Source organism: Homo sapiens, chromosome 21 (assembly GCF_000001405.40).
Source record: "Homo sapiens chromosome 21, GRCh38.p14 Primary Assembly".
Lineage (NCBI taxonomy): Eukaryota > Metazoa > Chordata > Mammalia > Primates > Hominidae > Homo > Homo sapiens.
Genome location: NC_000021.9, coordinates 16,398,349 through 16,418,468, shown reverse-complemented (window position 1 = coordinate 16,418,468; position 20,120 = coordinate 16,398,349). Strand labels below are relative to the sequence as shown.

General features: G+C 36.2%; 1 long non-coding RNA gene across 9 annotated transcripts in view; it reads right to left on the bottom strand.

Annotated features, from left to right (window-relative positions):
* The window catches only part of MIR99AHG (mir-99a-let-7c cluster host gene), a 561,240-nt gene that overhangs the window by 213,259 nt on the left and 327,861 nt on the right, over nt 1-20,120 (bottom strand). The window lies entirely within an intron of this gene.

The following is a 20,120-nucleotide window of genomic DNA, read 5'->3' as shown; positions in this document are numbered from 1 at the left end:
AATAAACCAGTAAGTCATTCAACATGTGGAAGAGAGAAAGAAGCTCAGAGGAGTGTAATAACATGGATCATAACTGAGTTATTTTTACTCCTGACCAAATTCCTTCCTATTGGACAACGATGGTGAGAGAAGCCAGCATGTTTTTCGTTAGAGATTTTAGTTTCTGTTGTTGCATCAGGCAAAAGGATATCTCTTAATGTAAGGCAAATAGACAGAATTTTTGTTTTTGTTTATTAACATAACTAATTTTGATCTAGCTATGATGGTTCACAATGCAGTCAGAAGATGAGCAAAAGTGAAATGTTCCTAAAATACATGAAAGGTGTGTCTTCAATTTTTTTTTTCAGAAAGTTGTTTCCCTTGCTTTAAGAGGAGAGTTTATTTTGTTTCTATTCTTGCCCCAAATGATAGATCTGTTTTCTTATCTTAGAAACTAGAGATCTAAATTACAAAAAATTGTAATTTTATAATAAAACATTATTTCCTCAGATAGGAAGTAGCAAAGATGCCTACAGAGAGGCTGAACTATTAGGCTTTATAGATGCACAAAAACTGAAAGACCCAATAAATTAAAAATATATGTCATGATAATATTGCACAGCAAATAAGGCTAGTATCCTTATTTTGAAAGTGATCGATATGTAAAATCAAAAGATTCCCATTGGATCTGGCTTCATATATAGCAGTGTATAGTTTGATGCTCAGAATTCTTATGGAATCTAATAAAATGCTGGGAAATCATTTCTTTTGTGTCCCCCTTTTTTTCCAATGTAAGAAAATATTCAGCTTGTTTCTCTGAATGGTCTATTACCATCTACAAATCACCCACTATCACATTGTTTTATGTATATATATATATATATATATATATATATCTGCAGTAGCTATAGACTGGCAGTCCTATAGCAACATTTGTTGATCTCAGTAATCACTTCTTTACACTTCTTTTCTGTCTTTTCGTTAGACATCTCATGCACAATAGCAGTTAATTCATATCATGACTGTTACAGGCTGAATTGTCTCCCCCCAAATTCAGATGCTGAAGTCCTTACTCCCAGTACCTCAAAATCCGACTGTAGGTGGAGTTAGTGTCTTTAAAGAGGTAATTAAATTAAAGGAGATCAGTAGGATGGGCCTGAATCCAGTGACTGGTGTCCTTATAAGAAGAGGAGGTTAGGACACAAAAACACAGAGAAGACCATGTGAAGACACAGGGAGAAGATATCCATTTGCAAAGCAAAGGATGGGGCTCGGAAAAACCTACCCTGCCAATACCTTGAGCTGGTACTCCTTGCCTCCAGAATCGTGAAAAAATAAATTCCTGTTGTTTAAGTCGTTCAGTCTATAGTTGTTATTTGTAGAAAACTAATACAATGCCTAAGTTGAAAGGAGTGAAAAATTGTCCTATCTACTACTGGAATACAATTCATTTCTATACTCAAGTGTTTGATTTTGTCTAAGACAGCATGGAATGTACAAAGGAAATGTAATTTATTCACATTTTCCAGAAAAGAGGAAAAACTGTGTGTACACCAGAGTTTTATATAAAAGGAATAACAAGGTGCTAAAAATGAAGGAACACAAGACACATTTGCCACTTTTCCATGATACTTATTTTCATATTTTGAACAGGAATACTGTGCTTAACTCACTTTGTAAATAATAAAATAGTATGTACACAATTAATACATACAGACTTTAAAAATAATTGTGGAATAAATAGGTGCCTAGCATTTCCTTTGGGTTAATTGAAAATGGTATGTGAAACTTTTGATTTTGAAAGACAGTTCTGACACATGGACAACTCACATTCAAGTTCTGATGCTAGATAAAAACTTTATATCAAGAGTTGGAAGCATAAAAGCTAGTCTTTGTAAGTGGAGAGTTCCAATAATCTATGCAAAGGGAAGAGACCCTAAAGGAAAAAGGAAAAGAAAAGTGGCCTTATAAAAAAGTCTGTATAAAGGTAAATGAAGGAAGACTGAAGGTGTCAAAGATAAAAGAAATTAGAAGGTTAATCAAATATCTCCCCCAAAAAATCATCTTTGCCCATAAGCAAAGCAACAAACACACCACTCACACGAAGTTGGAAGACACAAGGTAGCTATGGGAAACATAATGGAGTAGGAATATTTTGCTGCTTGTGGTGGGCAGGATTCTAAGATGGCCCCAAGATTTCCACTACCTGTATACTTTTACTTCCCTAGTAGGTGGGGTAGAACCTGTGAATATGGTAAGATAATTGCTTTGTTGTTAAGAGTCAATGAGATTTCCATCTAGTATTAGTAGAGTGAGAAAGAAGAAAAGAAGCCAATTGCAAATCAATCCGCCTGCCCAGAAGAGGTAAGGAATAGGTGACTGAAATTACCATTGTAACAAGATGCCATTTTACCTAGCCACAATTCCCACCTGATGCCACCTGAACGTGAGTACTCATTTATTCATCCTTTGGCTCACCTGATCCTATCAAAAATTCAGTTTAATGCTGACCCTGTGTGGGGCATCGGGCTGTCATGTGGTATAAAAAACACAGCTTTTGATCTCATGATGATAGTCTAGGAAGCAAACTGAAAGCAAAACAACCAGTCCTAAAGAAAATGGCACTGTGGTGAGCAATTAAAATGCTGAGGTGGTAACGTCCAGTGTTTTCGTAAATGTGGCAGACTATTATGACAATATTAGTAATTATCACATATTCAAATAATTATAATAAACAAATTATGGAGAAAGGTGCTATTTGAAAAATGCCATTTTTTTTGTCATCCTACAGCTACATGATGTCATTGTCTTAAAACAACTAATATAATATTGGTTGCGTGAAACTACAATTGTTAGTCTCTTTTACTTTTTATGAAAATATTTCCCCTCTACTTCTCATGCTAGTTGAGACCAAGAAGACTATTTATCTCTTGAAATTCTAACATTTTAAAATAAAATCTGAGACATAATCTTTCTTCACAAAACCCCATTGTTACTCCAAAGTAAATTGCAAACCATGCTACAATGGCTTTCACTTTAAGCAAGATATGCTAATAATGACATGGTATTTTGAACACCTATTTCTTAATGAGAATAACCAGAATACATTGAGAAACAATTTCAAATAAAGTTAAATTAAGTTGAATGTGATCATGAAACAACTCAAACTATTATAAAGAAAATAAGCTTAAATGATTAAGTAAATCTTCTCCACAAAGGTCATATGGAAATAATTTAAAATAAAACATAATATGACATGTAATTGTCAAAATAGAAATTTTTTTAATTTAGCAAACAGAGAGGCACACAGATACATGCAAACAAACAAACAAAAATATGGTACATTGAAGTAATGGAGGGAAGATATCTATCTTATTAATTTGACCAGAATTTCAAAAATGATTTTGCATTCTCAGTATAATTTTTTTTAAACATTACCAGCTTCATTCCATTTTCTAAGCCTATAAATCTGCTTTTTTTTTTTGAGGGAATCTCTAGAGGCACTTTTATATTTTATCAAATATATTTTTTAGTTTCAGAAAGATTAAGAACAATCTAAACACACACAGAGAAATTGATGACACGAACAGCCATATATCTAAAATAAGTTGAGATAATAATTCATAATCTTTCCCCAAAGAAACCACTGGATCCAAATGGTTTCACAGGTGAGTTCTACCAAATATTTAAGGAAGAACTCACATCAGTTTCCCATAATCCCCTCCAAAACATAAAAGCAGAGGAACGCTTTCTAACGCATTGAATGAGGCCAGCATTACTCCTAATGCCAAAATTAGATAAATATATTACAAGAAAGGAAATTTGTACACCCTTATCCTTCATGGAGGTAGACATAAAAATCCTTAATAAAACATTAGCCAGTATAATTTAGCAATGTATTGAAATAATTATACCCGAAGACCAAGTGGTCTTTATTTCATATATGCGAGGTTGGTTCAATTTTTGAAAGTCAACACAAAATATGATCATATCAATTGACACAAGACACAACATTTCACAAAATCCAACACTCAAGCAGGATAAAAACTGTTAGCAAACTAAAAATAGAGGAGAACATCTTCAGATTGATGAAGAACATCTACAAAATAGCTACTAGCATCATACCTAACAGTGAGAAACTAGATACTCTCCCCCAAGACAGAGAAAAGACAAGGATGTTCCCTGTCACTGCTCCTATTCAGCATCATACCAGCAGTCCTAGCTGATGAAATAATACAAGACAAGGAAATGAAACATAAATATTGGAAAGGAATATATAAAACTGTCTAGTCACACATGATATGTCTATATAGAAAATCCCAAAGAAATTAAAAAAAAAAAAGCCAATTTGGCAAGGTTTTAGGACACAAGCTTAATACACAACAGTCAAATGCTTTCCCCTTTACCAGAAATAAACACTTGACTTTTGAAATTTTAAAAATATTATTCATAATAGAATCTAAACATTATGTACTTAGATATACATGTAACAGAATATGTATGGCATGTATATGTGCAAAACTACAAAACACTGATAAAAAAATTAAAGAAGATCAAAATAAATCTATGTTCATGTTCTGTCAGCTGAGAAGGTCTAGAAGCAATGACAGCACCGTGGAAGTGAGCATACCTAGAAACCAGATATTAGTTTCTAATACCATTCTCCAATCAAAGACACTAGGACTCCTTAGAGAAATGCTTGATTCTAGGACTTGACAAGAAATATATAAGGTGGACCTGGAGCATAGTGCCACAAAGAAAGTAAGTGCTAAAAAATAAAATAAAAATAAACAATGGTGGGATATTTAAAAAAAGCATATAAGTGACAGCTGAAAGAAGTCCCAATTACTAATGCTGAAACAATTTAAACAACAAAGTAAAGTAGTATTGGTTGATAACCCAAGTATAAAATAAATATCCATGAATCCATACTGATGTAAGTAAATGATTAGATGAATAAACAATAAACATACAGAGAATAAACAGATATTCCATGCAGAAAATTGTTTTGTTGCTTTTTTTTTTTTTGAGATGGAGTTTCACTCTCGTTGCCCAGGCTTTAGTGAGTGGTGCAATCTCAGCTCACTGCAACCTCCGCCTCCCAGGTTCAACTGATTCTCCTGCCTCAGCCTTTCAAGTAGCTGGAAAGCTGGGATTACAGGCATTTGCCATCAAGTCCGATAATTTTCGTATTTTCGGTAGAGATGGTGTTTCACCATGTTGCTAAGGCTGGTCTTGAACTCCTGACCTCAAGTGATCCACCCACCTCTCTCTCCCAAAGTGTTGGGATTATAGGCATGAGCCACCGCACCTGGCTCTCTCTCTCTCTCTCTCTCTCTCTCTCTCTATATATATATATATATATATATATATATATATATGATTGTGATATATAGGATTTAGGAATATATATATATATATTCTTAAAGAGGTAGAACATAATTTTTCACTTGTTTGTTAACTGGCGGCTGAGTGTAGTGACCTCTTTTCAAAAAGCATGATGTTAACTGAAGGAGGCAGAGACACAAAAAGCCCTTCAAAAAATCAATGAATCCAGGAGCTGGTCTTTTGAAAAGATCAACAAAATTGATAGACCACTAGCAAGACTAATAAAGAAGAAAAGAGGGAAGAATCAAATAGACGCAATAAAAAATGATAAAGGGGATATCACCACCGATCCCACAGAAATACAAACTACCATCAGAAAAGACTATAAACAACTCTATGCAAATAAACTAGAAAATCTAGAAGAAATTGATAAATTCCTGGACACATACACCCTCCCAAGACTAAATAAGGAAGAAGTTGAATCTCTGAGTAGACCAATAACAGGCTCTGAACTTGAGGCAATAATTAATAGCCTACCAACCAAAAAAAGTCCAGGACCAGACAGATTCACAGCCAAATTATACCAGAGGTACAAGAAGGAGTTTGTACTGTTCCTTCTGAAACTATTCCAATCAATAGAAAAAGAGGGAATCCTCCCTAACTCATTTTATGAGGCCAGCATCATCCTGATACCAAAGCCTGGCAGAGACACAACAAAAAAAGAGAATTTTCGACCAATATCTCTGATGAACACCGATGCAAAAATCCTCAATAAATACTGGCAAACGGGATCCAGCAGCACATCAAAAAGCTTATCCACCATGATCAAGTGGGCTTCATCCCTGGGATGGAAGGCTGGTTCAACATACGCAAATCAATAAATGTAATCCAGAATATAAACAGAACCAAAGACAAAAACCACATGATTATCTCAATAGATGCAGAAAAGGCCTCTGACAAAATTCAACAGCCCTTCATGCTAAAAAACTCTCAATAAATTAGGTATTGATGGGACGTATCTCAAACTAATAAGAGCTATTTATGACAAACCCACAGCTAATATCATACTGAATGGGCAAAAACTGGAAGCATTCCCTTTGAAAACTGGCACAATACAGGGATGCCATCTCTCACCACTCCTATTCAACATAGTGTTGGAAGTTCTGGCCAGGCATTCAGGCAGGAGAAAGAAATAAAGGGTATTCAATTAGGAAAAGAGGAAGTCAAATTGTCCCTGTTTGCAGATGACATGATTGTATATCTAGAAAACCCCATCGTCTCAGCTCAAAATCTCCTTAAGCTGATAAGCAACTTCAGCAAAGTCTCAGGATACAAAATCAATGTGCAAAAATCACAAACATTCTTACACATCAATAACAGACAAACAGAGAGCCAAATCATGAGTGAACTCCCATTCACAATTGTTTCAAAGAGAATAAAATACCTAGGAATCCAACTTACCAGGGATGTGAAGGACCTCTTCAAGGGGAATTACAAAACACTGCTCAATGAAATAAAAGAGGACACAAACAAAGGGAAGAAAATTCCATGCTCATGGATAGGAAGAATCAGTATCGTGAAAATGGCCATACTGCCCAAGGTAATTTATGGATTCAATGCCATCCCCATCAAGCTACCAATGACTTTCTTCACAGAATTGGAAAAAACTACTTTAAAGTTCATATGGAACCAAGAAAGAGCCCGCATTGCCAAGTCAATCCTAAGCCAAAAGAACAAAGCTGGAGGCATCACGCTACCTGACTTCAAACTATACTACAAGGCTACAGTAACCAAAACAGCATGGTACTGGTACCAAAACAGAGATATAGACCAATGGAACAGAACAGAGGCCTCAGAAATAATACCACACATCTAAACTATCTGATCTTTGACAAACCTGACAAAAACAAGAAATGGGGAAAGGATTCCCTATTTAATGGTGCTGGGAAAACTGGCTAGCCATACGTAGAAAGCTGAAACTGTATCCCTTCCTTACACCTTATACAAAAATTAATTCAAGATGGATTAAAGACTTAAAGGTTAGACCTAAAACCGTAAAAACCCTAGAAGATAACCTAGGCAATACCATTCAAGACATAGGCATGGTCAAGGACTTCATGTCTAAAACAACAAAAGCAACAAAAGCCAAAATTGACAAATGGGATCTAATTAAACTCAAGAGCTTCTGCACAGCAAAAGAAACTACCATCAGAGTAAAGAGGCAACCTACAGAATGGGAGAAAGTTTTTGCAATTTATTCATCTGACAAAGGGCTAATATCCAGAATCTACAATGAACTCAAACAAATTTACAAGAAAAAAACAAACAACCCCATCAAAAAGTGGGCAAAGGATATGAACAGACACTTCTCAAAAGAAGACATTTATGCAGCCAACAGACACATGAAAAAATGCTCGTCATCACTGGCAATCAGAGAAATGCAAATCAAAATCACAATGAGATATCATCTCACACCAGTTAGAATGGCGATCATTAAAAAGTCAGGAAACAACAGGTGCTGGAGAGGTTGTGGAGAAATAGGAACACCTTTACACTGTTGGTGGGACTGTAAACTAGTTCAACCATTGTGGAAGACAGTGTGGCGATTCCTCAGGGATCTAGAACTAGAAATACCATTTGACCCAGCCATCCCATTACTGGGTATATACCCAAAGGATTATAAATCATGCTGCTATAAAGACACATGCACACAGTATGTTTATTGTGGCACTACTCACAATAGCAAAGACTTGGAACCAACCCAAATGTCCAACAATGATAGACTGGATTAAGAAAATGTGGCACATATACACCATGGAATATTATGCAGCCATAAAAAAGGATGAGTTCATGTCCTTTGTAGGGACATGGATGAAGCTGGAAACCATCATTCTCAGCAAACTATTCCAAGGACAGAAAACCAAACACTACATGTTCTCACTAATAGGTGGGAATTGAACAATGAGAACACTTGGACACAGGAAGGGGGACATTACACACCGGGGCCTGTTGTGGGGTGGGGGGAGGGGGGAGGGATAGCATTAGGAGAAATACCTAATGTAAATGACGAGTTAATGGGTGCAGCACACCAACATGGCTCATGTATACATGTATCATGTATACATGTATACGTGGCTCATGTATACATATGTATACATGGCACATGTATACGTATGTAACAAACCTGCACATTGTGCACATGTACCCTAGAACTTAAAGTGTAATAAAAATACATATATAGTGTGTGTGTGTGTATATATATATATATGTGTGTATATATATATATGTGTGTGTGTATATATATATATATATATATATATATATACACACATATATATAAAAGCACGATGTTGAAAGAGACAGAAAGAAAATAATTGGCTTTACAGTGGGGAAATCTGATTAACACTTCCACAAGCTAGCTGATCAATGTCAACATCAATAATGATAAGTTATTTTGATAGTATTCATCTTTGATAACAGGTGATGAGAATGGCAATTTATCTTTGTGGTCCTCCTCTTAAAATGCATGACTCCAGTCTAAGCCTGAGATAAATATCAGATAAATTCCAATTGAGGAATGTTACACAGAACAAGTGACCCGTAAGCCACAAAATTATAAAGGTCATTAGAAGCAAGAAATGTCTGAGAAACTGTCACAACCAAGAATAGACTAAGGTGATACGACTACTAAATGGAATGTGGTACCCCTGCACATCATCATGGAATAGAAAGAGGGTGTTGGGGAAACACTGAGGAGATTTAAATAACATATAGACTTTGGTGTGTTACCAGGTATCAATTATGTTTCATTAATTGTGATAAATATATCATACTAATATGATAGATTTGAGAAACTGAGTGTGGGGAGCTCTCTGTATTATCTTTTCAATAATTTTGTAAATATACAATTGTACTAAAATTAAAAATTAAAAGATACATGAGCAAAATGTTTTAATCAGAAAAAAATAATTAATCTAAACACTTGAATAGGTATGTTACAGAAATATTTTCTCAAGTATGGAAGTAATGTCCAAAAAGCAATTTCTGAGAAATATACATTAAAGTAGTAAAACTACTCCCTTAGTTTCCATGACATTGTTTCTCCTGTTTTGTTCTTCTCTTATATCTGATTTTCTTTTCAATTCTTTTAAATCTCATTGACTCTTACATATAGGTTGTTTGATGACCTCCAAATCTTCAGCACATACACCAGTATAGTGCTCCAACCTTATTTCTAAATGTCGACAGGCACCCATCTCCATTCATAAAACCAAAACAGTTTTTTCCTACTAATATTCCCCTACTGCGTTTAACAACCAATCATTCTCCATGCTTAACGAGTCAGAAGAGATCCCAAGACACCTCAACACTTTCCCAATAAAACACTGGGACAAGTGAAGAAATGTGGAATACAAATATGTCATCAAAAAGTTCCTGACTGAAAGAAAAAAAAAATCAAATTAACATTTTGGTTAAAACTTGAAGATAGTATAACATGTATTAAAATGCAGAGTAGGTCTCTCAAGAAAAGAACATTGAGGGCCAACAGAATCCCATTTTCATCTGGCCAGATCATTCTCCGCAATATTCACCACACCATAAAACATACTAAGTTGTAAATTTATAACCTTCAAAAGAAGTCGGAAATACTCAGCAGTGGGAACAAAAAGCCCATTGCAGTTCTGAAGTGTGGAGTCTGTCTTTTACAAGTCCCATGTGAATCATAATATATGGAATGTTGATGAGGTTTTAGAGTTAAAATCTTAAGTCCATTAAAAAAATTATTACATTAGCCTTTTGGAGCAAAGGTCTAAAATATAATGCATTTTGGTTTACAAATAAAACTAGTATGATAAAAAACTAAACAGAAACACAAGGATAAACCCACAACTTTCAATGATCCTTTTGAAGAAAGCGGTACCTCTAATCTCACAACTGTCACTGCGATTAAATGTAGTGAGAGCACATATCAAAAATGAGTACTGCCATGAGGGACTTTAGCCAAAGTGTAAAGTATGCTGTTTGTCTTGGAAATGTCCCACCTCTTGGCAAATTCTCTTAATCTTTGCCCAGGCATCCAGTACCCTCATGCTTCCCTCTGGCTATCTCAGGCTCTTCTAACTCACTGAACACCCACAATCCCTCCTCCTCCAGCAAGAGCCCTGTGCTTTCAAACCAAACTTCCTGTCAGTTCCACTTTTCAATCAAAACTCCAATTTCCTCAGGGTGGCTGATTTTGGCAGTCACTAAGCAAAATCCTAATCTGATAATCTGATTAAATTAATTCAAAGTAAGTTGTAAATGGCTAATAGCCTAAATTTCTGAGAGAAGCTGAATATTTGACAATCTAATTTGTAGAATATGCATAGGAGATGTATTGAATTGGAAACCTGAGTGCCCTCTGTTAATACTCAAATTTCTTCCATTACTTCTTTCTTTTCTACCTTTCTTTCTTTTCTTTTCTTTTCTTTTTCTTCCATTCTCTTTCCTTCTTTCTTTCTATTTCTTTTTCTTTCTTTCTCTTTTCTTTCTGCCTTTTTTCTTTTCCTTTTCTTTCCTTTATCTCCTCCCTCCCTTCCTCCTTTTTTTCCTTTCTTCCTTCTTTCCTTCCTTTTTTCTCTCCTTCCTTCCCTCTTTTTTCTTTCCCTCCAGGTTTTCTAGACTCTCAAAATTCTCCCTTACTAGTCACTTTTTAAAATCTGTAATGAGAAAAAAAATTGACTAAGATTTAGGATTATCTTTCCTATTTCTTGTAATAATCTGTCTCCAACTTAAAATGTGAACAGTGCATTTGGAAGTATCACAATGAATTACTGCTTTTTTTTTTTTAATTCAAACACTTAACCTACCACAGATAGCAACTATTGATTAGAATGTCTTTCCCAGAAATGTTAGCCATCCTGTGTAAGTAATTACTGCTATTTGCATCAGGCCATCAATGCAAAGCACTGCAATATATATCATATATTCATTTTTACTAATTATTCCTTCAACATATTCATTAATAATAAGTAATACCATGACATTTCTTTCTATGAAATAATCAAAATGGTCTATCTTTATTTCATATTTTTCTGTGCTAGGTGCTGCTTTAAGTACTTTGGGTACAATAATTCATTTCATCCTCAAAATGAAATTGTAAGTTGGTAATTTTTATATACTTTCTTTTAACATATTTGGAAACTAAGATTTAGAGAAGCTAAGAAACTTGCCAAAAATTACATAATAGCTAAATTGTATTTAAACCCCACTGCATGAGTCTATAAAAAATGTGTACTGTCTACTCCTCCAAGAATATATATGTATGCATGTTAAAATAACTTATATATGAGTATTGATACTATCAGAAGCTCAGTCTCAGTAGAAGGTGTGAAATCAGAAAGTGGGAGTTAGACTTGTGTTAAAAGATTACCTTGCATAGGAAACATTATTAGGGTATCTTGGATAAACCTGGAAGAAGGTGAACGGGATATGATAGCCAGGAGGATCAATAAGAAGTAGTGTTACTTCCAGGTCATTTCATCTAAGGAGTAGGCGAGAGTAGAGGTACAGACTTCACAGTCAGGCTTTGCCAGGCTTGTGAATGATAGTCCTGGTTGCAAAATGGTGAACTGAACTGACTAGATAAGGGAGATGGGAAGTAATGTCCCCAGAAATCCTAACAGCAAGTGAAAGAGAAAGTCAGTCAGCCTAATCACTGTGAAATAAGAAGAGAAAAATATAACAGACATTCTTATCAGAAAAAAACTTTTATGTAATCCAATAATACAGTCTAATAATATAGTACAATGTTATTTCATTTATTTATATTGGATATACTGGGACCTTCCAATAGACATTGCTAAGCAGAATACCACCAAGTAGTAAACTATGCAAAGGAAACATTTGAATACTTGTTCAATAAATATCATAGCAGACTGTTTGGAAAGGTAATACCTTCATGAGGTTTAAAAAATCTAGTCATACAGAAGCATACAAAGCATAAAATAAAGATGCCTTCCTTTCCATAATGATAGTATTCTGTTCCCCTAATGTAACTACTAAACTGAATGTGTTTTCAGGAAATATGCATTGTATGAAAAATACATAATCACTTGTACCTTTTTTGTAATATTAATTTATTTTTGAGACAGGGGTCTTGCCCTGTCGACCAGGCTGGAGTGAAGTGGTGCGATCTTGGCTAACTGCAACCTCCACCTCCTGGGTTCAAGTAATTAGAGACAGCGTTCCACCATGTTGGCCAGGCTGGTCTTGAACTCCTGACCTCAAGTGATCTGCACATCTTGGCCCCCACAAAGTGCTAGGTTTACAGGCGTGGCCCACCGTACCTACCCTATTTTTAATTTTTAGAAATTTATTTATTTATTTATTTATTTTGTGAAGACAATGGTCTCACTATATTTCTCAGGCTGGTCTCAGACTCCTGGGCTCAAGCTATCCTTCTGTCTCAGCCTCCCAAAGAGCTAGGATTACAGGCTTGAGCCACCACCCCCAGCCCTCACTTGTAAAACAGATTAAATTATATTCCATATATGTGACTTTAATTTGCTTGATATAGTTGGCTTTATAAGAAAGGAAATCTTACTGCATATATTGTGTTGTAACTTGATTTACTTACATTCTTAATATGATGTGTGTGTGTGTCTGTGTGTGTGTAAACCTTTTGTAATTAGGGACCTAAGTTCTTCCTCATTATCACTCCTGTTTAATATTCTAAAAATTCAAGCTGTATCTGGTGTGTTTAATCATGGGAATATTTTATATTTGTTCTCTATTATCTGGCAGAAATAAGATACCAAGGTCTTAAAAAAATTACTTTATCCAATTAGTTCTCATACATTTCACACTGCTGCACATTTGGGGGTGGGGGTAAAAAAGCAGATCTAAACCCAAATGGCAGAGTTTAAAATACCCTGTAGACCATAGTTAAGTATGTAAAAGTTTAATAAACTTAAATTTCCAGTTACTCTGGCCAAAAGTTTATGTTCAAGCAATATTAACTGACCATCTTAAAAGTAAATCCTAGATGTTGGGGTAGGTGGTTAGGCAAAGCATTCCTCCGAGAATTATAAGGAAAAATGAAACTTGCTGAAGGAGTCAGAGTGAATGGGGTCATCCATGCAACAGCAGCTATATTTTCATCTCTTTCCACTTATCCCCCTTGGCACTAAAGAAATTCAGTACAGAGGAATGTTGCAGCTGGGGAGAAGAGACAAGCATCTGGTTAAGAAATAACCCCATTGCTCAGGACAACTTTTGGCCTTCTATATTGATCTTATTAAGTTTCAACTCTTTTTTCTGGAAAAGAAATTCACTAAGAGAAGAAAAAATATTACACTACTTCTGGCACCATGAGTAAAGCTAATGGGCTTCAGACATCTTTTAGGTGGGGAACATATTTACTATCAAATAAAGACATGAGCTAGCATGGGAAGCATTCTTGGGCTGTCAGAAAGCAGCATAAGCTCCTTGTGAGATTGTGAATTTTAATAACATATACAACTAACCCTTGAATAACACAGCCTTGAACTGTGAAGGCTCACTGTTATGCAGATTTTTTTCAATAGATACATTTGAATTTTTTTGTGAAATTTGTGACAATTTGAAAAAACTCACAGTGTAGCACAGAAATTTTGAAAAAATTCAGAAAAGGTTAGATATGTCATGAAAATGCATAAAATATATGTAAATACTGCTCTATTTTATCATTTATTACTATAAAATAGATACAAATCTACAATTAAAAGTTAAAATTTACCAAACTGTACAAACACAAACACTTACAAAGATATTTGCAGTCCAGAGAAATGTAACCAAACATAAAGATGCTGTATTATATAACTGCATAAAATTAAGTCATATAAGCTGTACTATTTTAATAATTTTATAGCCATCTTTTGTTGCCAATTCATGTTGAAAGGATCAAGTATGCATTTAAAGCACCATGTGAAGCTAATCATCTTCAAGTGATCAGTTCTTTCTCCAGTAAAATATGTTACATAGTAAACATATCTCTTGTAGTTTTCATGTATTTTTCATGTTAGCGCAATATTGTAAACCTTGAATAACAGCATGGGCCCATATGAAGTGCTATTAGTGTTACTGAAAGTGCTCCCAAGAAACAGAGAGAAGTCACCACATTACAAGAAAAAGTTGAATTGTTTGATACATATCATAGATTGAGGTCTGCAGTTGCAGTTGCCCAGCGTTTCAAGAGAAATGAATCCAGCTTAACAACCATTGCAAAAAAAGAAAAATTCATTAAGCTATAGCTGCAATTACACCAGTACTTTCTGCAAAATACTTTTTTATATTGTATAGAACGTGCACCTTTTATGTGGTTTTAAGATCAATGTGAGAAAGACATATGTATAGACACTAATATGATTTGAGAAAGAGTGAAATTATTATTTGGCAACTTAAAGCAAAAGGAAGGTGAAGGAGGTAAAACTAGAAAATTTAATGCCAGCAAAGGATGGCTTGATAATTTCAGAATGAGGTGTTGCTTGAAATTGTCAAGATAACAGAAGAAGGCTGGGTGCCGTGGCTCATGCCTGTAATCCCAGCACTTTGGGACGCCGAGGCGGGCAGATCACCTGAGGTCAGGAGGTCAAGACCAGCCTGGCCAACATGGTGAAACCCCATCTCTACTAAAAATAGAGCCAGGCGTGGTGGTATATGCCTGTAGTCCCAGCTACTCAGGAGGCTGAGGCAGGAGAATCGCTTGAACCTGGGAGGCAGAGGTTGCAGTGAGCCAAGATCATGCCACTGCACCCCAGCCCAGGCGACAGACTTCGTCTCAAAAAATAAAAAAATAAAATAAAATAACAGAAGAAGAAGCAGCTTCTGCTGACCAAGAAGTAGCAAATGAGCTCCCAGACACCATTAAGAAAATCATTGAGGAGAAAGGTTTTCTGCCTGAACTGGTTTTTAATGCAGACAAAAGTGCCCAAAAAGTCACAATGGACATTTTTTTTTCAGTAAGGAAGAGAAGCAAGCAAGCACCACAATTTAAGGCAGGAAGGCATAGGCTAACTCTACTGTTTTGTGCAAATGCAGTCTGGCTTATGATTAGGACTGCCCTTGTCCATAAAGCTGCTAACTCCCAAGCCTTGAGGGTAAAAGATAAACACCAGCTGCCAGTCTTTTGGTTGTACAACAAGAATGCCTGGACAACAAGAACTCTTTCACTCTTTCTGGATTGGTTCCATCAATGCTTTGACCCTGAATCAGAAAGTACTTTGCCAGTAAAGTGCCTTTAAAGTTCTCATGATACTGGGCAATGACACCAGCCACCCAGAACCCCATGAGTTCAACACTGATGGTGTAGAAGTGGCCTACCTGCCCCCAAACATAACATCTCTAATTCATCCTCTAGACAAGGGAGTCATAAGAATCTTTAAAGCTCATTATGCATGGTAATTTATGGAAAGGATTGTCAGTGCTATGGAAGAGAACCCCAGTAGAACATCATGAAAGTCTGGAAGAATTACACCATTGAAGATGCCACTGTTGCTACAGAAAAAGCTGTGAAAGCCATCAAGCCTAAAACAATAAATTCCTACTGGAAAAATTGTGTCCAGATGTTGTGCATGACCTTAAGGACTTACAACAGAGACAATCAAACAAATCATGAAAGAGATAGCGGATATGGCAAAAATGATGTGTTGGAGGGGGGTTCAAGATATGAATCTTGGAGAATCTTGGAGTTAATAGACAGCACACAGGAGGAATTAATGGAAGGAGATTTGATGGAGGTAAGTGGTTCCAAACCAGTACCAGGTGATGAGGAAGAAGATGTAGAAGAAGTAATGCCAGAAAACAAACTGACAGTAGACAATTTGGCAGGGGGATTTCGGTTATTCTAGACCCATTTTGACTTATTTTATGACATAAACTGTTTTGTGATAGGGGCGGAAAAATTAAAGAAAATGGTGGAAGAGTTGTTGCCATACAGAAACATTTTTAGAGAAATTAAAAAGCAATTAGACATCAGTTAGGATGTCTTTTCATAACCCAAGTGTATCTGCCTCTCTTGCCTCTCTTTCTACCTTCCCCACCTCCTCCACCTCTGTCAACTGAGACAGCAGGACCACCCCCTTTTCTTCCTCCCCCACCTCAGCCTACTCAATGTGAAGATGAGGACGATGAAGAGCTTTATGATGATCCTCTTCCACTTAATAAATAGTAGATATATTTTTTCTTTATAGTTTTCCTAACATTTTTCTCTCTAGCTAACTTTATTGTGAAAATACAATACACAATGCATATAAAATAAAATACGTGTTAATTGACTGCTTATGTTATCAGTAAGGCTTCCAGTCAACAGTAGGCTATTAATTAAGCTTTTGGGGACTCAAAATTTCTAAGTGGATTTTTTACTGTGCCACCCCTAACCCCTGCATTTTTGCATGGTCACTTGTATATATATTTGTTCTTCATCCTTGTTTCCTGATATATAGCTCTTATAACTTCTGGAATCTCTAGAGTCATAAGAGTATCTAGGATGCAAATAAGATGACCACAGGGCTGGTCACAGGAAAAACCAAGGCATGATTAGAGGGTTTGGACTTTTTGCCTGCCCCTCCAGCTTTGGGGGATAGAATAAAGGCTGGAGGTTAAGTTGATCACTAATGGCAGATAATTCAATCAATCGTGACTATATAATGAGGCTTCCATGAAACATGAAAATCTAAAAGGACTGGGTTCAGAGCTTCCAGATAGCTGAACAAGTGGAGGTTCCCTGTGGGGTGACACACCTAAAGAGGGCATGGAAGCTCTGCACCTGTATTTTTTGTTGTTGTTGTTGTTTTGTTTTGTTTTGAGATACAGTCTTATTCCGAGCTGGAGTGCAGTAGCATGATCTTGGCTCACTGAAACCTCTGACTCCCAGGTTCAAGCAATTTTTGTGCCTCAGCCTCCCAAGTAGCTGGGATTACAGGTGTGGCCACACCCAGCCTGCACCTGTTCTTGAATGCCTTGCCCTCTGCATCTCTTCCATTTGTCTGATCACTGATATGTATCCTTTGTAATATGCTTTATAATAAACCAGTAAACATAAGTGTTTCCTTGACTTCTGTGAGCTACTCTAGCAAATTAATCAAACTCAAAGAGAAGATCAGCCAGGCGCGGTGGTGCACGCCTGTAATCTCGGAACTTTGGGAGGCCGAGGCAGGCGGATCACCTGAGGTCAGGAGTTTGAGATCAGCCAGGCCAACATGTTGAAATCCCATCTCTCTACTAAAAATACAAAAATTAGGTGGGAGTGGTGGTGTACGCCTGTAGCCCCGGCTACTCGGGAGGCTGAGGCAGGAGAATCGCTTGAACCTGGGAGTCAGTGGTTGCAGTGAGCCGAGATTGCGAATTGTACTCCACCCTAAGTGACAAGAGCGAAACTCCATCTCAAAAAAAAACAAAAACAAAAAAACAATGACTGGGCATGGTGGCTCATGCCTGTAATCTCAGCACTTTGGGAGGCCTAGGTGGGCAGATCACGAGGTCAGGAGTTCGCGACCAGCCTGGCCAACATGGTGAAATCCTGTCTCTACTAAAAATTAAAAAAATTAGCCAGGCGTGGTGGCAGACCCCTGTAATCCCAGTTACTTGGGAGGCTGAGGCAGAAGAATCACTTGAAACAGGAAGGCAGAGGTAGCAGTGAGCCGAGATCGCACCACTGCACTCCAGCCTGGGTGAAAGAGCAAGACTCCATCTCAAAAAAAAAAAAAAAAAGAGAGAGAAGATCGTGGGAACCCTGATTTACAGACAGTTGGTCAGAAGTATGGGCTCTACTACTTGTGACTGGTATCTGAAGTAGTGTGTGGGGTCAGTAAGAGGACTGGGCCCTCAACTTGTGGGCTCAGAAACTATCTTGAGGTTGAGAGTCAGAACTGAATAGAATTAGAGGACACCCAGCTGGTGTCCACTGCAGAATTAATTGCTGGAGAATTGCTTAGTGTGTGTGGGGAAAAAAATCCACACACATTTGGTCACAGACATGTTCTGTGTTGTGAGAGTATAGCAGGAGAATCTGAGTTTATTTTCTTCTATATCCTTACACTCCTCTTTTCCCCCACCAAAGAAATCGTCAAAATATCTAGAGTATTTCTTTATAATTAGCATATCTAATGAAAGAGAATAAAACTGGTGATCAGTTAGTGTAGACATGGGCTGGAGAATCTTTGTTAATAGAGTTTGATGAAGATAAAATATGCTGCTGTAATACTAAAGAATAAGTATCTTCATGAGTATAAACAGAGGTAGGAGGCCATACATTGGCATTAGCAGGGAGAGAGATACTATGTAGGAGACAAAACAAATAATTTCCAGAATTTCCAGGTAAGTAAAGAAAAATTATGTTTGGGTCAGAACTGGTTTTTCTATTTATAATTGTGACAGAAAGCAAGCAAAAAAAACAAAAAACAAAAAACAAAATAATCTGGAGATAATAGAGATCAATATTCAGATAACAAAGCCAATATCATGGGAATATTTGTAAAATAATAGATATCTTTAAAAAATATACATTTAGCCACAGGTTAACTAAGAGCCTATTTTAGGAATTTGTAAAATGACTACAGAACAAACATGAATAAAATTTTATGTTTTTTTTATTTGCAAGAATAACTATGCAAATTTGTTTTAGGTTTCAGAGAATGACAAAAGGGAAAGTAGGAACTAAACTCTTTTGAAATGTTTTTATTTCTCTAAAAAAAATCATTAAAATGAGTCATAAGTGTACAAATTTTACAGTCAACACAATCTGGAGAATTCATGATAATAAAATACAAACAAACTCCACAATTCTTTCAAAATCTTCATTTTAATCACATCTATTCTAAATTTGTAAAACCATTTTAGACAACTTTTTCTGTCATCACTATCGCTGAACAATTAATAAAAACCAACTGATGGTCTCCACAGGAAAAAAAAATATAAACACAATGTATCGCATATAATTTCGGAGTGATTACTTATTATTTTGTATAAAACTTACTCTTTGATCCAAATTTAAGGGCTTCTAGTATAGAAGAATGTTTCTAACTAAATAAAGTAGGACCTACAAATGTCTTTTGAAATTTGACTACTACAGAAAAAGGTAGTTTGTGCCTGGATGACACTGTAAACATGCAGCATTTTCCTGGGCCCTTGATGGGGTGGGATGGTAGTGGGAGGGGTAGAGTACACAGCTAGCAACGTGTCTATATTCACACACCACAAATGACTCTGGAACTCTCTGCTCTTATTTTTTCTTTACTCTCTCAACTGTCTTACTACTCATTGTCTGGGAGACCCTGAATAGCACAAGAAGTAAAAAAGAGACTTACCTAATAAATACATTCTTAATATACTCACTGTAGTAAACACAGCAAGAAAAGAAAATAACACGTTAAAGATTCTTACAAACTACATAAAACTAACTTACTTTTGTAAACAAATAAAAAGCCCTGTAAATATCAGGATATATTTATTTAACTGTCGCATATGTGTGTTGAATAGTCTGAATAAGAAATAAGCCACATTTTAAGACACTGTAAATTCCTGGCTTGCTATTAAAACCAGTATTATAATCCTAAATGTCATCTTAAGAAACTCCATGGTTGTAGGATCACAAATATGTATGTTCTAATTGTCAGGCCTCTGAGCCCAAGCTAAGCCATCATATCCCCTGTGACCTGCACGTATACATCCAGATGGCCTGAAGCAGCTGAAGATCCACAAAAGAAGTGAAAATAGCCAGGTGCTGCCTTAGCTGATGACATTCCACCACTGTGACCTGTTCCTGCCCCACCCTAACTGATCAATTGACCTATGAC